The sequence below is a fragment of the Homo sapiens genome, chromosome 9 (genome assembly GCF_000001405.40).
Source record: "Homo sapiens chromosome 9, GRCh38.p14 Primary Assembly".
In the NCBI taxonomy this organism is placed as follows: Eukaryota; Metazoa; Chordata; class Mammalia; order Primates; family Hominidae; genus Homo; species Homo sapiens.
In genome coordinates, this window is record NC_000009.12 from 108,042,131 (window position 1) to 108,061,650 (window position 19,520).

Here is a 19,520-nt window from a genome sequence, read left to right on the forward strand (position 1 = left end):
CAGGATTAGGTTTGCTAAATATATAATTAAATAAGATGAAATATCAGAGAAGAGGTACAGATGAAGATTATGGAGTTATAAAACAATAGATTGGGAAAAGGCCATGATGGTTTCTTTATATATTCCCTAAGAAAAATAACAAAGCAGCAAATTTCAACTGTAGAGAGCACATGTAGAAACCCACAGGGAGAATCATTAGTGGGTTGAAGGCTGGGATGCATCACTGAAGAGAGAAAGAGAGGAGAATCTGCATTTATTGGCTGCATGGTCTGAGCCAGGCCCTTCCCATGTACACTGTAGTCCTACATGGGAAAGATTACTATTTCTGTTTTAGTGAAATGGAAACTAATGCTCAGGTTTGTTAAGTAACTCGCACACACCCATGATATTTGTGAGTGTCAGAGCTTGGCCTTGTATGTCCAAAGGGCATTGTTCTATGGAGTCACACTGTCCAATAGCCCTTCTGGTTTATAAAGAAACTTTAAATCTTGTCTAATTGTTTCAGCAAAGATCAGAGAAGGACTTCAGGGTGAACCTTTTACTTAAAGAGGGTGTTTGGAACACTTTAATCAAATTTCCATTGTAGTCTATCAATCATCTACCACTCTATGTATGTTTTTGACATGTTCCCATAATGGCCTAGTTGCCCAAACCATGGCTCTATTGACAGGTGCATTCTCCTTTATTTCTCTAAAGCATGAGGCTCGACCAACCCCATCTCTGTTCTTGTTTGGCTCTACCTGTCATCAGCCATAAACTAATCCCATACTCCCAGCTTTTCCCCCTGTTAAAAGCTCCCAGCTCCAATACAACTTCCAACATGGAAGCCAGAGTGATCTTCTCGAATTCTGGATCTACTAATGTCCCAACTTTGCCCTCACATTTAGAAGGGTTATCTCTTGCCACCACATTTTATCCAGTTCTGTGGTCTGGAATTCAATTTATCCATTTTTTTTTTCAGTGTTTCAAAAAACAAAACATTGGTTTTTTTTTTGCTGTCCCAGATAAGAAAGATTTGCTTAACCAAAGGTCATAAAAATTTACTCCTATCTTCTCTTCTAAGAGTTATATAGTTAGTTATAGTTTTTGCATATACGTCTGTACAAATTTTAAGTTATTTTTTATATATTTATTTTTAGATGTTACATCATTTGATTAATACAATAAATTTACTCTATTTTCTATTAACATTTCCATTACATACTGCAGTTTTATAGAGAATACATTGATTTGTATGTATTTATTTGTAACCATTAGCCATTCTAAACTCAAGGAAGATTTTTGTTTGTTTGTTTTTTCAGGGTTAAGAAACAGAAAATAATGATTAATTTTTAAATCTCCCTTTTTGAATAGTTATATTGCTTTTTACTTTATTTTTCTGACTTAAACAAACATCCTAAATAATGTTAAATAATAATAGGTGATAGTGGACATCTGTATCTTGTTCTCAAATTTAGTGGTAATGAACCTGGTGTTTGTTCGAAATTGACTTCAGATATTCTTTACCATGTCAAAACTATTGCTCTATTCCTTCTCTACTATTTCTAGTTGAATCCAGACAGTATAGTAAATTTATTGTTATCTGTTTTTTGCTCTGTTAATCACTTAATGAAATGATGTAATGCAGTTATCAACATTTTCAGTATTGAACCATCCTTGCATTTCTGGAATGAATCCTGCTTAGTCATAGTGCATTATTCTTTTAAGATACTTCTGGTTTGGAACTGCTACCATTACATTTATGATACTTGCACAAATGATATTGCCCCACATCAATATATGACAAATTCCCTTTCTTGGACCAAGCCAAACTACATTTAAAAAGTAGGTAAACAAGGAAAGGCCTAGATGAGGCTTCAGGATCTAATTTTTACTTATTTTAGAGAGCCTGATAATTGTTCATGTGACAAAGTGCTTATATCACAGTTTCTCATTTTAAGGTCCTGCCCTATTTTGGCAAAGCATTGAAAGGAAGTACTAAAGCATCACAGGGCAGTCTCAGTAAAATAAAACTACAATAATACAGTAGTTATACAAACTACAATAATACAGTAGTTATACGGTAGTTATACAATAATACAGCAGTTATACAATAATACAGTAGTTCTGCAATTGTATACAGTAGTTATACAACCAAGAAAACTACAATAATACAGTAGTTAAGTGTTTATGGTATGCCATATGATACTATACTTGACACTTTACATATATTAGTTCTCCTCCTCCTCCTCCTCTTTGGCAGGACAACTTATTGGAATATTAATTAGTGTTTTCTATATGATTGATAGAAGGTTGGAAAAAATGTGTATGGAATATATGTTCTTTTTCCCTGAGGGCATTATTAGAGGCTTTTGTGTTGCAGCCCTGAAAAGAGAAGACATCTAACAAAAATGCCCTTATCTACTCCCACTCTCAGGCCTTTGTTTGAAGAATGTATTGAGATATTGAGGGAAGCTGGCATATGAAGTGGAGAAGGAGGCAGAACTGGCCCTACATGTGCACACACGAACACTGCCTTCTACTGAGATTGCAAGGTAAGTGAAGGTTATCATCCTAGAGCCTAGGGTGGGGGAGCATGCTGTGGCAGGTCCCACCAGTGCCAGGAACTCACACAGCACCTGAGGAGTGCCAGGGTCTTTGATGGGGTGGTCCATGGTGCCATGAAATTGATCACTGAGAGGCAAAGCCTTAGGATATTTGCAAAAAAAAGCCTTAGCGTGATGGCAGAGTTCTGTGTTTGTGAATGGAAACATTTTCATTTTACATCTCAGTGAATAGCTGTGGATTTAAAAATAGAGTATACTCTTCCATTTTTCAGGTGCCATGGAAGTATCCTGGGTCTTTGTATGCAGCCTAGAAAGGAGGTGAGTGTTCCCTCCCACTCTATCTTACAAAAGTTGCACCTCAGTCGTAGGGAGCAAATTCCTGTCTTCTAGCTATACAATTCTCATGCTAACCTTAGAAAGTTTTTAATCATTATCCCATTTTTAGATAAGAAAATGAATATCCGAAGAGACTAAGTACCTGGTCTGAGTAACTGGATGTTATCTCAAGTTAACCTCCTTTCTCATGGCTGAACAATTATACTGTGCTGCCTTACATTAAAAAAAAAAAAAAAGCTATTCCTTACTAAGGGACTACTTTATGTAATGCACAGGGCTAGATGCTATATATATATGTATGTATATAAAATTTCAAGGAAGTCCTTCCTATTATAATAATCATTTCATCTTATGATAAAGTAGAAGATGGAGAATTATTTGGTAGTTGTTAGACCCAGTGTTTAGTCCCAGTTCTGCCACTAGCTTTGTACATTAGTTTCTTCATCTGTGACCTGAGAATAACAAAATTTGCCTTTTGATATTATCATGAGTACTGAGTGAAGTATTAGAAATAGCAGGATCTTGTTAACTGTAAAAAGATGTGCACACATGGACCCTGCCTTTTACTGAGACTGCAATCTATACTGGTCGTCTCAACCAAGCGTCTCTCTTCAGCAGTTACTAAGATACTGAGGTATACATTACAACGCAGAGGGGACCAGGATACCACGAGGTGGACACTAGCCTTGGAAACTGATTATTTATATTTGTGTGTAGTCTCCTTGAAGCAGAGGTTAGGTCAGACATAGCTCTTCTGGGTCTGGCAAAGTCAACTGGAAACCGCTAATGGCCAATCATCCTATAAGATTGCTTCTTTCCAGTCCTCTGCATTCAGGGAAGCCAAACAAACAAGGCACTTTCATCACCACTCCAAGGAATCTATCTTTGACAGCTTCCAGACAGCAGACATATTGGAATATATAGTCCATCCATAGAACCCAGAAGGTGATCTCCCAGTAGAGATCAAGCCATCTCAAGAAAAGTCCAGAAAAACTCCCTGAGCAGATGTCTGCCCTCAGGATAACATTGAGGCAGATGTTTGTGCTCTGAGGTCACTGCATGGTATTGGCTACATCCAGAGTTGCTCAGGACAAGCTGTTTGTTAATCCAGGCTAGTAAATGAGGGGGTGTCTAAGGTATTTGTTAAAGAGTCACCGAAGTCACCCTCATTGGGCCAAAGCTTGGTAGAACCCAGGAAGTAGCCAGATTATGCCAAAGGCAATGGGGATTTCAGGAAAAAAGTTCAAAGAAAATCACTGAGATTTAACAATAGATTTCTTTTTCCATCAATATTGGGAAAGTGTGCCTGGTGAAGAAGGCATTGGGGGACCCAATAAGTACCATGAAGGTTACAGACATCTTTTACTCTTTCTTTGCTTATTCTGTACTCCAAGACTTGACAATGCCTTGTATATACTTGGTACTCAATAAATGTTAGTTGGCAATTGAGCGAATGAGTATTTGGGCAGTAAGTGGGATGGTCCCAGTTGTTGTATGTAAATCTCTGTACAACTTAACAGTTGCTTGCTTATGGAGAAATAAATTTTGCACTAACCCCCAATTTTTTTCTCATGAGGACTCACAATGCCAGATACAAAGAAGGAACCGATTTAGGTTGTTCTAGACTCAAGGGTTCTGGGTTCCAGTTTCAGCCTTAGAGCTATTCTGAATCTTCACCTGTCTACTTGCATGAAATAGAGAAATCATGTAGTCAGTTTTCTTATCTGAAAATTTAAAGTGGTATTTCTTACCTCATGAGGCTTTTTTTTTTCATAATTCCGTGAAAAAATGTGTATGCTCTGCCAGTACAGTTTGTGTAGGGTTGCAATTAGGAATAAGAGAAACATGCTTTGGCATCAGAATGTGTTCAGATCCTGGGTCTACCACATAGAAGCTGACTGTTCTTAGGCTAGTCACTTAAAAATTCTCTCAGTCTCCTATTCTACATCTCTAATAAAAGGATAGTAATAATACCCACTCCATTGAGTTGAGGGGATAATGATTGCAAAGTGTTTATACTGTCCAGAATATAGTAAGTGCTTATTATTTTTAGAAAGAGGAAGCAATTTCTCATTTGGATATCAGATTTTGATAAGATAAAGATGCTTACTATTCCTTAAAGATTTTTCTTCTTCTTTTAAAAAATAAACTTAAGAACATAGTGAATCCACAACATGGAGTTTCACTATTAAAGTCAGCATTTCAAATTTTCCTTTTGCTTCCTTTGGAATGGAACACACCAAAAACATGAAAAGACTTTATAAACTGCATAACATCTTCTGCTCTTTCCCAGGTCTTCGGGATATAATTCAATTTCATGATGCAATTAAGAAAGAAGTCTAAACCAAAGGACACTTACCGCACTGCAGCAACATGTGGCTATTTATCTAGCGTGATTTCACAGAGAATTTTTAGGTCATCCAGGGTTTCTGTGCCTGTAGTTTTTCATCTCTCAAAATGGGATTCCTGACTCATAGTGTGGGGCGAGGCTGAAAATGCATGGTATATATGGAAATGCTTTCTAACTGGAAGGTGACTAAGGACACAGGTACTGTGGTGTGGTCCTCAGAGCAAATCCTTTGTGCTTCTTTCTTTTTTATTATACTTTAAGTTCTGGGGTACATGTGCAGAACGTCCAGTTTTTGTTACATAGGTATGCATGTATAGGTATGCGTGTGTCATGGTGGTTTGCTGTAACCATCAACCTGTCATCTACATTAGGTATTTCTCTTAATGCTATCCCTCCCCTAGCCCCCCACCCCCTGACAGGCCCCAGTGTGTGATGTTCCACTCCCTGTGTCCATGTGTTCTCATTGTTCAACTCCCACTTATGAGTGAGAATATGCAGTGTTTGTTTGGTTTTCTGTCCTTGTGTTAGTTTAGTGAGAATGATGGTTTCCAGCTTCATCCATGTCCCTGCAAAGGACATGAACTCATTATTTTTTATGGCTGCATAGTATTCCATGGTGTATATGTGCCACACTTTCTTTATCCAGTCTATCATTGATGGGCATTTGGGTTGGTTCCAAGTCTTTGCTATTGTGAATAGTGCTGCAATAAACATACGTGTGTATGTGTCTTTATAGTAGGATGATTTATGATCCTTTGGGTATATACCCAGTAATGGGATTGCTGGGTCAAATGGTATTTCTAGTTCTAGATCCTTGAGGAATCACCACACTGTCTTCCACAATGGTTGAACTAATTTACACTCCCACCTTTTGGGTCCCTGGTGGTTGAAACACCTTGTAAGCATCCTCCTCTTTCCTGCTTAACGAATCAGCCTCAGGTGTCAGGAAGCTTATGATTTCTTTTTCTGCCCTGATCTCTGCCCCTCTGAAATTGCAGCATTTTCATGATCTTCTTCCTTTCACAACTGCCATCTTCTTGTTCTGATACCAAGAGGCTGCTCATAGAAATTTTGAAAGTCAAAATTCTCAGTTACATATTCCTGCTGCTTTGTAAACTTAACAACTGACTGATGGCATCCCATAGGAAAGACTGCTCTTGCAAGCAACTGGCTCAACAACCTCCTCTCATCATTTTTCTCTTGCTTTCTGTGAAGACCTAGGGAGTTTGAATGAATCCCTTGTTTAGGGCTTGGGGAGGACAGCCCAGCTGGAGGGCCCACAGGGCTCAAAACCCAGCAGATTCATCAAGCCAGGCTCCCTAGAGGCAAGCCTAGGTCCAAATACCTGGTTGTCTATGTTGTACTCTCTTGTTTTTCCAAATGCTGCTCTATGTCTAACTTTATTTTCAGAACATTGTGAGATAGGAATAATTTCCTGTTTTTCCAAATTAGAAACTCAAGGCTCAGAGAGGTTCAGTAACCTCTCTGAAATCACACAGGTAAGTGACAGAGCTGAAATTCAAGTGCAAATCTGCCTGACACCTAACCCCACATTCTTTTCCCCAATAACAAAGGACCTTCAGACAGTGAGGACAGTGAGAATTAAGATAAATTTACAGGCTGAATCCCAAAAATATTTTGCTTTGATAGTAAATAAATTTTCCAAATGAAAACAAAGTATTAATGAATAATAATATCTAAAACAAAGTATTAATGAATAATAATATCTTAAAGAATTTTGAATGCTGGGAATGTTGGTGATAGCGTTAACAAAAATCAGCAGTTGCATCAGCTGGGCAGTTTTCCTCCAGAATATTATAGTCTCAAACAGCCAGAGGTTATTTCTGATTACATCAGCAGCCAGGCAGATCCAGTTTAGGAATCTCGAAACCACATATGTGACTCACACGTCATTGTTATAACAGTAGGAAACACATTAACTCTGCTTTAACAAGCGTTCATTGAAAAGTCGGGTTTCCAGAAACCAGTTTCTTGGTGTACTTGGAGCACATAATCTAAGCCTTTTTCCTGATGACAGTGTCCTTGCGTGAGGCTGTACATTATGGGACCTGACAGCTTAACAAGACAATATCTGCTTTTACAAACTCCGTGTCCTAGCACATTCCATTGAAGTTATAGCAGGTGACTAATGAGTATTTCACCACCATGATATTTTGAGTTGCAAGCTATAGGGACTATCATTTGACTGAACAATACCTTAAAAATGTTTGCAAACATTGTAATAACAAAATATTTCTGTTGAAGTCATAGAAAAGAGTTCCTTCGGTCTAGCTCAGAACTGTCAATAATGCTGGTCTGTTACAGACATTTTTGAATGATGGAAGATGGCACTTACGGTTTTCCAAATACATGAAGTTGATTCTTTTTTTAAGCTGTATATGCTTAAAATGAGAATTTTTTCATAGTTGGATGACCAATGTGGGGGTCTCAAATACTTATCCTCTGGTGTTGGCGTGGAAGTTGAAGACCCAAAGCATAGTCTAGAAAATGGAAACTGCAGGGGTCAGAAATTATTACACTTAGATTCAGCCAAACTTGGTTTCCATGTCACATCCTACTTCTCTCCTGGCTACTTGATCTAGGAAAAGTCACTGACCTTCTCTGTACCTTAGCTTTCATGGGAAAATAATGATACTTTACAGGAGAATGTGTGAGGATTAAAATAAGGTGATAGGTAGAAGGTTCCCAGTACATAGTAAGTGCTCGAAAATATAGTCTCATTCATTCGTTTGTCTCCATGGGAGCAGTGGACAACCAGATAGATAAACAGAGAAACAAGTTCTGAAGGCAAGAGACGAGGGCTGATAGAGAATGTGGAAGAGGAAATTTGGTAGAACCTGAGTTACTGAAGGGGAAAGAGGAAGGACCCAGGAGCCCAGTCTTACTGAATGCCTACCACTGTGTGCCAGAGATTAGAAGGGGTGTCAGAGGAAACAGGATAAACTCTTTTAAACAGACATGAGAGTCCAACTTGTGTGGGCTGGTTTGACTTAAGAGTGATGTTCCCTGGGGTTTTCTCTTGCCTGCCTTTTTAGGTGTTACAGGGAGAAGGTGAAAGGAACATATGCTTTTGTTTACTCCAGGGAGGAAAAAAAGCGAGAGAAAATAAACAGGACCTAATGCTGGGCCATTAAAACTTGGATAAAATTGAAATGGCAATGTCTTGAGATTTCCTTGCCATGTTATAGGTTCCTGGGCATAAAATGATGGAGCACCAGGGGTCTTGTAGTTATTAGTAGAAAATTAAATGCAAGCACACCCACAAAGATAAAGACCTGATTTGATAGTCCTATAGATTTTGGATTGTTTACTGTAAAGGGAAGTAAGAGCAGCTTTATTTGGGTTTGGATTTGTGTTTGCAGAGGAGTTTTATGTGGGTGATTTTGCATATAATATCTACCTTCCAAGAGATGCCATCATCTGCAGAACGGAGAGACGTGCTCCAGACTTGCTTATAAAAATCTTTATCATCTTTTGGGAGGTGATTGATTTGACTAGTCTTGATGGGCAGCTGGATAGAAAATTCTAGTGGAGGGGATGTGACCAAGCTCATATGCCGACAGAGGCGCAGCAAACAAGACTTTGCAGCAGCCACTATAAAGTGGCTTCAAGAATTTACTTGAACAGTGTCCATCGAAATGTGAATGTATACCAAACAGCCAGTGTGGACTTAGACTGGAGGACTTAGACTGGATTATGCACTGGGGTGTGGCATGAGGCAGAACCTTCCCAGTCCCACCCTACCCCAGAGTTTATTAAAAGATTGTTGACTGTTTCTTACTATACAGATACCAAGTAAGTTATGTTAGAAGTACATCACGTCTGGGCCAATAAAACCCATTGTTTGGGGATGACACAAGTGAATGAGTGGACATGTTGATGCTCTGGCCAGATCCTCTCAGATCCCTTTTACATTTCTGTGTATCCCTTCCCTGGCTTCTGGGTGCCTTTGTATCTAACAGGCAGTGCCCTTGGACTACTAGAGCCACTTTGCCCAGGAGCTCAGAGAGCTGGAAGCACCCGAGTTTGCAACCTGCTGGAGTGGCCCATGCCAGTGATGGACTGTAATAAAGAATATGAACCCTTAGCCACCTTGCCTCGAGTCTGAATGAACTCTAAGGTGTAATTTCCTCTCTATAGACTCCCTGTGGGATCAGACTGAGGCTGCACACTGACTGACTGAGATTGTACCTTGCTTGATGTCTTCCCCTTTCCTTTCCTGCTTCCTGAGCTCCTCTGCTAGGCCGTCCTGGGAACTCTCCCCTAATAAATCACTTGCACTTGAATTATCATCTCGAGGGCTTCTCAGGAAACTGACCAAAGGCAGTGCATTAATCCAAATGCTTCATATTGAAATGGGGTGTGTGTGTGTGTGCGCGCGTGTGTGCAACTTCATTATTCTGAGCCTCCTTCCATGGCATGAAGGGGGCTTGTTGGATAAGGAGACCTTAGTTCCCTCTGAAGGGATAAAGTTGATTCTTTCCATCCCCATGAGGGGAGCAAAGCAGGGATCCCTAGGATGGGTTGCAGCCTGTCAATGTTAAGACCATCCACAGCCCTGCTAGGTGCCATGAAGAAGATGGTGCTCTTTTAACTCAACTCATCATGAATCAAGGGAGAGGGAGAGAGTGTGGGAGCCGGCAGCCTGCTGTTGCTTAGGGTTGGGGAATGCAAAGTGTCCTGCGACCTCTATAGCAGCTACTGTTTCAAGCCTTGGCAGCTGGAGGTGGTTATTACAAGTGGCCACCTTCACGAATGTGGAGAATACACACATTTTCCCTGAGAATTCCTAGGAAATAATGGGGACATGACATTCTGCTATTTTTCAAGAGATGGCTATCAATTCAATATTCATTTAGACCACATTACCACACATTTCTAATAACCCAAAAAAATAAATAAATAGATGCAGGCTTATTATTAGGCTGGGCTGCCTCCAGGGATTGGAGACTCGCCATCAGTGGAAACATCCAAAGAGGGATGGGATGGGAGGGGCTCTTGTGAGGCACCTTGTAGCTGGGATTCCAACATCAACTGAGTGAGAGGGAATAACCTAGGTGATCCTTTCAACTCCCAGGAATCAGCAATTCCATAACTAAGGAGAGCATGAGCATGGCAGGGACACTGTGGCATTTGCTGCTTTTCCCCACAAGGGAATACGCATCATCATTTACCACATTCCTCATAACTCCTCCTCCTGAGTCCCTGCTAAGGAGTGACAGGGATTTAAGCTGGATAAGACAAAGGTTCCGAATCCTACAACTCAGCAGGAAGGCAGAAGAAAACAATTCCCTCTTTCATCAGGAGCTGGGGTTTCGTCAGTTGCCTGGTCTACCCGGCTTTTATTGCACAGGGTTGGGGATCATTGGAGGTTTGGGACACATCGCAGGCAGGCTTGGCCCTGCCATGTCTTCACTCCAGGCAGACATCTATTACCCCATCTTCCCCTCCAGTCCTTGCAACAACACTTAATTACGTGACACTCTGAGCTCCACCACCACTTGCCTCACCTGGCTCTATCCTGCAGGCTTGCCTGCTGTGTTATTCCTGTAGGATACACAAATTTTATCTTGGTGCTGCTGCTCCCATGTGAGACTGAGTTTGAGCTCCATCGATGATGAAGAAAGGGTAACAAACACATGCAGAGAAAGTGAGAAGAATGGACACTGGAGCCAGGTGAAACCAGCCACCTCAACTTTTTTAACTTCCTGAGTTTGACTGGGTCTTTGAATGACTAAAGCCAATTTGGGCCCAGATCTTATTCATGAAACTTACATTTCAAATATACGACGTTTCCTCTTCAATGCAAATACTCACTCTAGGCTCTGAGCTGGGGTATCCAGGGTCTCCTCATGACATGGTGGCTGGAACTCATCCCTTGTCTTGGAAATTGTCAAAAGAGCTGAAAATTCTGGAAGGAGCAAGAGGCAGAAAATAAATCTGTGCCTACTTTGGAGTAGAACGACAAGGATATTCCTCCTCTGAGGGAAGCCATGGGATCTGGGATGCTCAAAGCTAACTATCGACAGAAGTTACCAAATGGAGCAGAGGAGAATAATCAACAGTTTCATGGAAACCTCTTAGCTGTAAACCCCTTATTTTCACAAGTCAGGGTGGTTATGGAAAAGAGGGGAGCAGATCTGTGCCCTTGACCTACCCTCCTAGACAACGCAGCCTGGAGAAGAGAGGGTTAAATGGTGTGTGGAGGACTTGAGCTATTCTCCCTCTCCATTCACCCGAAATCCCACTGGGATATTCTAATCTCCTTGGAACACGCTGCATTATCTGTACTTTCAGCACAGCTCACGTTTCAAATGGCAGGCTGCAGAGCAATCTGATTGTTTTATAGGCCCAGCCAAGAGAGGAGCTCCAGTTCCTTTCTCCTGGCCAGGTGCCCTCTTTGAGGGAGAAGACCTGCGGTGTATAGAGACTAGCCAAATGCTTAAAGATTTCAGAAACTTCAAAGGCAGGGGAGGAGCCAGAAACAATAAAAAGGAAAATGATAAACATTCAGCTTAAAGACGGGCTGAGTTAAAATCCCTGAGAAATCACTCCGAGCAGTTAGAGGCCGATTCTCAGAGGCCCGTGGCAGCGTTCCATGGTGTTACACAACGTTCCAAGAAGCAATTATTAGCTTTGTTTTAGTTGTGATTAATACAGTTAACGACTCGTAGAGGTGGAAAGACAATGGAAATGAGGAAGACGAGCACACAGAAAGGGGTCCCTGCTCCAGCCCAGCACTCTCTGACAAATAAGGGGAGTTCATCCCATCTTCAGGGTGTCTAGGAGGTCTTCACCCATTTCGAAAATTCAGTTTTGGAACTATTTGATAAGGAGAAACACAATTTTTTTTTTTAAACAGCCCAAAGCCCTTGCTGTTGAATAGCAAAAGGAAATCTGCTTTATTAAGGGGCTCTTCGCTTCCTGTGGGCAAAGCTTTGCCATGGGGCTCGACATCATTAAGGTCATGTCTGCACAAAGACCAGGAGAGAGAGAGTGATCAGCTGGAATGTTTAGGTCCAAAATATTGGAAGAGCTCAGCCTGATTCTCATGGGGGACTTAAATAGCTCAAGTAGAAAAAAAAAATCAGTAGATTTAAATCAGTGCAAAACTCTGTGTGAGCATTTACTATGTGCCTGACACTTTTCTAGGGATGTATTTTGTTCCAGCAGGCAAGACAAAGATTCCCTTTTCTCATGAAGGTCACATTCTAGAAGGAGATACAGACACAAAATAAAAGCCACAATGATACATCATAGGTTAACATGGACTGTGCTATGGAAAAGAAGAAAGCTAAGCATGGGAAGGAGTGTTAGGAGTGCCAAGGGCTACCTGGGGAGGCAGGAAACACAACAAAATGGGTGGAGATGTTGGGCTTCATCAAGATTGGGAGATCCAAGCAAGGCATGGAGGAGGTGATGAGGTCAGCCTAGAGGTTTCTAGGGGGCATCCAGGAAGAGTGAGGGACAGTATGCCTCAAAGGGGCAAGTCAGGAATGTGCTGTGTGTCAAAACAGCAACAAGAAATCCAGCGTGGCTAAGGTGAAATGAGTACTGAGGCAAGAGGATGGAGGCTCAGAGAAACACAGGGTTGAAGGGAGGGCCTGAAAAGTCTTAGAGCCATTGTGAAGATATTGCCAGAGTAAAATATTGCAAACACAATGTCTCAATACTCTAGGAGACTTGAATAGCTTAGACAGAAAAATAAGAAATATTTACATATATACAGAAAAAAATCATGTCATTGTTATCTTCAAGAAGCTCACAGTCAACTGGGAAAGATAGATAAGTAAACATAGAATAATAATCTTACATGTGATAAGTAGATACTACAAAAGACAAACGCTTTGACTTGGGAGCAAAGGGGATGATTTGTGATCCTGTGTGGGGGAACCAGGGAAGATTTCCTAGAGGAGAGGACACCTGAGCCTATTAAGTTGAAAACAGTAAATTTGTTAGGCATTTTACCCTACACATTTGCCCACAAAGACACGTACACTCCAAGGATGTATGTGATTTGTCCCAGTTACCCTGCACCTAAAGTACCAGTCCGGTTTTACCTCCTACTAGAGCAATTGCCTTCCTGTGTGCAGACCCAGTTTGAGCTGTGTTTGGGGTTGTTTTCCTCCAGCTTTCGGCTGAGGTCATGAAATGAAAAGGCTTGGCCGCAACGGAGCTTCTTAGAAAACTCCGAGCTTGCCTTCTCCTGATGTTACTGGCTTCCCTCTGTAGGAGTGTTTCCCAACTGGGGACTCTCCTTCAATGAAAATCTAGACCGTGAACACTGTAAAGATGGCCCTGTGCAAATGAATTTCCCATGCTGGTAAATCTTACAGCAGAGCAAGGAAGACCTATAATCAAACAGAAAATATATGGGTAATTTAATTAGAGATTCACTGGAAACTTAAGGTGTTCAAGGTAAACAACCAGAACATTGAAATGTATTCTTCCTGGTAGACTAGAAAGTTTGCAAAGTTTGGTTTCAGGCAGCCCTGGGTACATATGCAGGTTCAATCACTTGCTAGCTATCTGATCATGGCCCTGTTTTCCTTCTCTGTTGCGTGAGATCATAATACTTGTCTTTCTGAGCTCCCAGGGCTATTCTGAGGATCATGAAAGTATGTGGTAAGCTGTAAAACACTATACCTGTGTTGAATGTTTTCCTTTTCAAAGTGACTTTAAAAAAAAAAACTTCATTGGTTTATTTAGTCAATATGACACACTTCTGCAATCTTTTGAATCCATGGAATTTTCATATTAGAAATTACAGCCCTCATGTTACAAATGAGCAAACAGGCCCAGAGAGGGAATATGATTTACTTAAGATTGCACAGCAAATTAGAGGTAAAGCTGGACCTGGGTTCCCTGACTCATCTTTCCGTGTTCTTTCAAATAAATTACAGTATATAATAGAAGATCATGTGAAGGAAGATTCTTCCTGCTTCTGACTCAGAGAGACAGGAAGTATCATTTCCTTCTGGGTTCTTCCACTGGAAGCACATTGCATTTCCTTCTATAGCAAACACTTTCACTAGTTTTAAAGGCATTCTTTTTTGATAAAAAAACCTCTTAATCCAGCACTTATGTAAAACTGCTTTCTTTAATTCTTCCAGTAACCCAGTAGGTTATTAGTAATCCCATTTTGCAGATGAGGAAACGGAGTCTCTGAAAGCTGAAATGACTGACCCAAGGTCACATCTAGGAGGCAGCAAAGGTGGAGCCCACCTTCGAAGGCATTGTGCCACTATGTCTTTCCACCACACCGAAACCGTATATGCTACTTTCTCTTTTACCCTCTGGCAGAATTTAGATGTCTGCATTAGAAAGGAGCTAATTAAAGAAAGCAGCTGAAACAGTGAAATCCATCTTTATGAATCAACCTAATAAGTAGAATTAAAATCGCAAATTAGACTTAGAGGATAACCTGATTTTTAAATTTTGTTACAAGATTGCAAAAAAAAAAAAAAAAAGATAATGTTTTCCATTTACACAATGACTTTTATCCAAAGCAGTTTCACAGATGTGATAGAGATGAATCATAGGTAGGATTTATGAGTGAGTCTAACATTTAGCAATGTGAGATGCCCTAGTAGAGACAGTGTCTGTGTAATAACAGGAGCACTGAAATCAGAACTGCTTTTATCAGAGATGCTTGGCAGATTAGATTCATTATTATTGTAAATATAAGAAAGTATAAAAAAATGAATAAAACTCGCCCAAGCCTAGATAGCTAGAAGCAATTATTCATGTTATTGTTGTATGTTTCTTCCTTCTCCCTGAACACTGCCTTTTAAAAACTTTGGCTGGGATTAGACTGTATGTGAATTTGCACTTGATGTTATTAGTATTACTTACTATGATATATAACATGCTTCAGAAAGATAATATTTAATGGATGAATCACATTCCATTACTGAAAATAAAAAATATATATTAAAGAAACACCCCCAAATGGGAGAAAAACAATGACAAAAACCAAATGCAGAAAAAAAAATAGTGAGGTGAGTTGCAGGCTTTAAAGCAAAAGATAAAGTCTTTACGAGAGAAGACAGAATAGACTCTTGTTTCAATGATACTCTGGCCTCCCTAGTTCTTGTTAACATTCCTGAGGCAACATTTTGGTTGACTCTTTCAAACTGGCTGTGTGTGCTTGTGCAGGGATTGGCCAGCCTTTTCTGTAAAGTGCCAGAGAGTGAATCATTTCGGTTTGAGGCAATACAGGCTGTGTAGCAACTACCCAACTTTGCCATTGTAGCCTGAAAGCGGCTATAGACAGTATATCAACCAGTGAGTATGGCTGTGTTCCTACAAAACTTTATTGACAAAAACAGACAGTGGATGGAATTTGGCTCTCCCAGGGGTATTCGTATATCAGTCTTTGCCTGGGCCTGGCTCTATGCTAAACTGTGTATAGATACAGAAAAGAAGGAAGTGTTTTGTCTCTGCCCTCAAGTAACTGGGAGAGATGAGAGAAGGCATCATTGCAATGTAGCATATGAAAAGCAATAAATAAGATGCACACCAAGTGCTGTGAGATCAAAGAGAAGGAAGCAAGCCGATCTCCTCTGGGCAATAAGGAAGTCCTCACAAATGAAGGGATCTAGCCTGAGTTGCAGAAACTGAGTAGGCATTTATCTACATGCGCCTGTTCAGTTGACTGTGTATTGGATTTCTTCTCCTATAAGGTTTGGGGGTGCCTCCATGAAAATTCCCAAGTCCTGGGCTTCGCCCAGACCAGTAAAATTTCCTAAGAAACTGGTGGGCACTTTCCAGAGCAAACTTTACTAAACCATTGCCCTGGATGATTTTTTATCCTTGTTTGATCAAGGTATGAAAACAGCAAAGCCGGTGCGTCTTTGAAGTCCTTCTGTGTTGTGTTTATTTGGTGTGTGTATACATGTTATACAAGGTACTAAGGATGAAATCACAGGGTGTTGTTACAAATTCCACCCCCAGCTATGGGGCAACTGCATTGTGGCATCCAGTCAATGCCATAATGAGTGCCTACTGTGTGCAAAAGGTGGTTTTCTGTCCAAAATAATGATCGATCCTCCGTTTCCAACACCACCCCACCAGCAGCAGCAGGACAATTGTCAAAGGGACAAAGGGTCCCGAAATGTTTGCTTCAGAGGGAGCAAAGAGAATGAGGAAGTGGAAAGAAGAGGTATTTGTTTTGGGGTGTGTTAACTGTTTCTCTTTTAGCAGGAATTTAGCTGAGGTGAGGGTTAATGATTCCATTTCTATTCTTGTTAAGAGTAACCAAGCTCTCCAGAGATTCTTGAAACAACTGTGCTATCTAAATACACAGTATTTTTCACATACTTTCACGTTAATCCCCCAGCTCTGTCTAAATCAGCTGCTAAGAAAAACTTAAAACAATTCCAACAGATTTCCTTTAGAGAGTGGTAAGGGAAAGAATTGAAGTTGGGAAAATGTGGCAGAATGCTAGAAATTTATCTACTTAGGTGTTGGATCCAGAAAATTAAAAAAAATTAAATATCATTAAAAGGTGATTAAAATTTAAAAATTAATGTTTAAGTCTTCTGCTTTGAAAATTATGAATTAGGGAGCATAATTTTTAAGTAAATAAATACTAGATACATAAGGAGAAGTTAAGAGAAAGACATTGAGAAGTACAGCAGATAACGATAAGGAGAAGAGCTAAGGCACGGGGGCAAAGAGAGCAGGATTGGAATCTATAAAAAATAAAAATACAAGTTAGAGTATTAGGGGAAGAGGTAAAGTTTAAGGAGAAAAAAATCAAAAATCAACTCTCGGTAAAAAGAGAAGAGTCAGGCTGGGCGCAGTAGCTCACACCTATAATCCCAGCACTCTGGGAGGCCGAGGCAGGTGGATCGCCTGAGGTCAGGAGTTCAAGACCAGCCTGGTCAACATGGTGAAACCCGATCTCTACTAAAAATACAAAAAGTTAGCTGGGCGTGGTGGCTCATGCCTGTGGTCCCAGCTACTTAGGTGGCTGACACATGAGAATCACTTGAACCTGGGAGGTGGGGGTTTCAGTGAGCCAACATCGTCCACTACACTCCAACCTGGCTGACAGAGTGAGACTCTGCCTCAAATAAAAAAAAAAAAAAAAAAGAATCAGAAGGGAGAGAAAAGGAAGAAGAGTCAGTTATTAAAAAGTTCAGAAGACATTACCATCTGGAATCTTCATGAGCAGGATGAAGACCTACTATTTTCAGCTCTTCAAGTTCTCATTCTTAAAGCTTCAGAGACTGATGTAAATGGGAACTGCCACTGCAGCCCCATGGGGAGTGTTTATTCTAGGTGGCTATGGCAATACCCAGAACAACCAGTTCAGAGGCTGAATGCAACCAAACCTAGGACCAGCTGTCCCCTGTTGACTGGAGATGGACCTCGTACTGGGGATTATTGATAATCAGCTCAACGTTCTGCATGTGTCTCCCATGAACAAGATTCTGAAGCCTGGGATTTACGTTGGACTAAAAGGTGGGCATTTTAAAGCATTTTACGGCAAAGAGAAGAGTCTCCCTTTGTGTCAAGAAAAAAGCCACACCAAAGAGCTAAGGAAAACGCATCTGAATTAACACATATATATTGAGCAGCTACAGTGTGCAAATCACTGCACTTATCCCTTCATACACACGTCATCTCATCTACTCTTCTAAACAATCCTGTGAAATAGTTATTATTGTCTTCATCTTCTTGGTGATGAGACTAAAGCTTGTTAACTTATATGTGACTTGTCCAAGGATCTATACCTATTAAGTAGTGGGAATGGGTTGGTCCCCAACACCAAAATCCAAGCACATTCCATCACTTCAGCCCCTCTAATTGTATAGCCCTACTACTAATCCAGTAGGAGAGAGGCTTTGGCTCTAGGGCCCACTGAACAAGAGGTTATCGGGGGAAACTTGGCAACATCTAGAGACATTTTTGTTTGTCACCTGACTGGGGTGTGCTACTGACGTCTAGTGGATAGAGGCCAGGAATGCTACTAAACATCAATGCATAGAAAAGTCCCCACAACAAAGAACTATCTGGCCCCAAAGGTCAGTCATCCTGAGGTTGAGAAGCTCTGCATAAGACGGAAGTCCCTGGCCAGAGCTGCTCTCCTAAAAGATCCATCTGTTACAGGGCTACTCAGATATAGCCAGAATACACAAACTTTAATACTTTAAGTGCCTTGGAGGCTCTCGGGGGGCGGGGTGGCGGGGGTGGGAAAGTCAGCTTTTCTGTTAGGTTTGTTGCCTAAATACAAGGCTTTTGGCCTTGCAACCTTCAATCCATTTTTTTTTTTAGTGCAGTGTATTAGGAAGAAATAGAAAATGCTGACAAAAATCATGGGGAAACTTTTCTTTGCCACTTCTTTAGGCTTCTTCGTCTTCTGCCTAAAACCCTGCAGCAGCGACTTGATTGTTCTCCTGTTGCCATCCTTGCTTCCCTTAAATCTACTTGCCGCCATCATCTTCCCAAAATACAGGTAAAGTCATGCCACTGCTAAACTCTGTAGGACTCCTATTGCCTCAGAATCAAGATTGTTTATTCTTCCTAGCCTGGCACTCAGAGCACCTATGATCCTGACGCAGTCTGACTCTCTCAAATTTAATTTCTAACATCTCTCCTTTCTTAACATTTCTTATAATCCAACCAAGCTGTAACACTTGCCTTTATGGGTTGGTGGTGGACAGGGTCCTAACCTGTGTTTTCCTGTCTCTGTCATGTTGCTAAAGCAATTCCTTTTTCTTGGAATGCCTTTTCATTGGTTCCTTCATGGCCAAATCCTCTCTCAAGCTACAGCTCAAATGCCACCTCCACATTAAATTGTTTTCTGATTTCCCAAATTATAAATAGATGTTTTTGTCTCTGAAATCCCATAGCCCTTTCTCTGTGCCTCCAAATTTGAATGCATGTGCGTGTATGTAACTTATATATAAAACATATAGTATGTGATACACATAGAATATTATATAATGTATCATATATTCTATTAAATTAAAATTATATAATTAAGTTATATAAAATTAAATATATATTAGTAAATATATATAAATTAAATACATTAACTTATCTATGAAATTAAATTACATAATTAAAAGGTTTTGGTATTGATGTAAGAATATCTATATAACTCAATGATAAAGAAGAGGGAACCCAGGCATGGGTTCAGTTGTATAATTTAGTATGAATTTAGTATATAGTAAAAGGGGCATTCAAATCAGCAATTGTCTATTCATTAACTATCTACAGAACTTTATATTATTTAAAAATAAATTCAGATGAAT

General features: G+C 40.3%; 1 long non-coding RNA gene across 3 annotated transcripts in view, besides 1 other annotated feature; it reads right to left on the bottom strand.

The window, feature by feature from the left end:
* Positions 1–1,114: 1,114 nt before the first annotated feature.
* LOC105376214 (uncharacterized) overlaps positions 1,115–19,520 on the bottom strand; it is a 401,533-nt gene continuing 383,127 nt past the window's right edge. Inside the window, exons 5-6 of one of the 3 annotated variants that reach the window (XR_007061722.1) lie at positions 11,071–11,164; positions 1,115–7,747 (exon numbers count right to left, since the gene is read on the bottom strand). This is a non-coding gene — a long non-coding RNA (uncharacterized LOC105376214). Of the gene's footprint in view, positions 11,165–19,520 lie in introns of all 3 variants that reach the window. The other 2 variants (XR_001746882.2, XR_001746881.2) reach the window with 2 other exon arrangements.
* Positions 10,251–10,752: an enhancer, noted in NCBI's record as "NANOG hESC enhancer chr9:110814662-110815163 (GRCh37/hg19 assembly coordinates)". NCBI's record gives its function as "activates a minimal SCP1, AML or CMV promoter by ChIP-STARR-seq in primed H9 embryonic stem cells {active_cell/tissue: H9 hESC(primed)}" and the evidence as "EXISTENCE:reporter gene assay evidence [ECO:0000049][PMID:30033119]".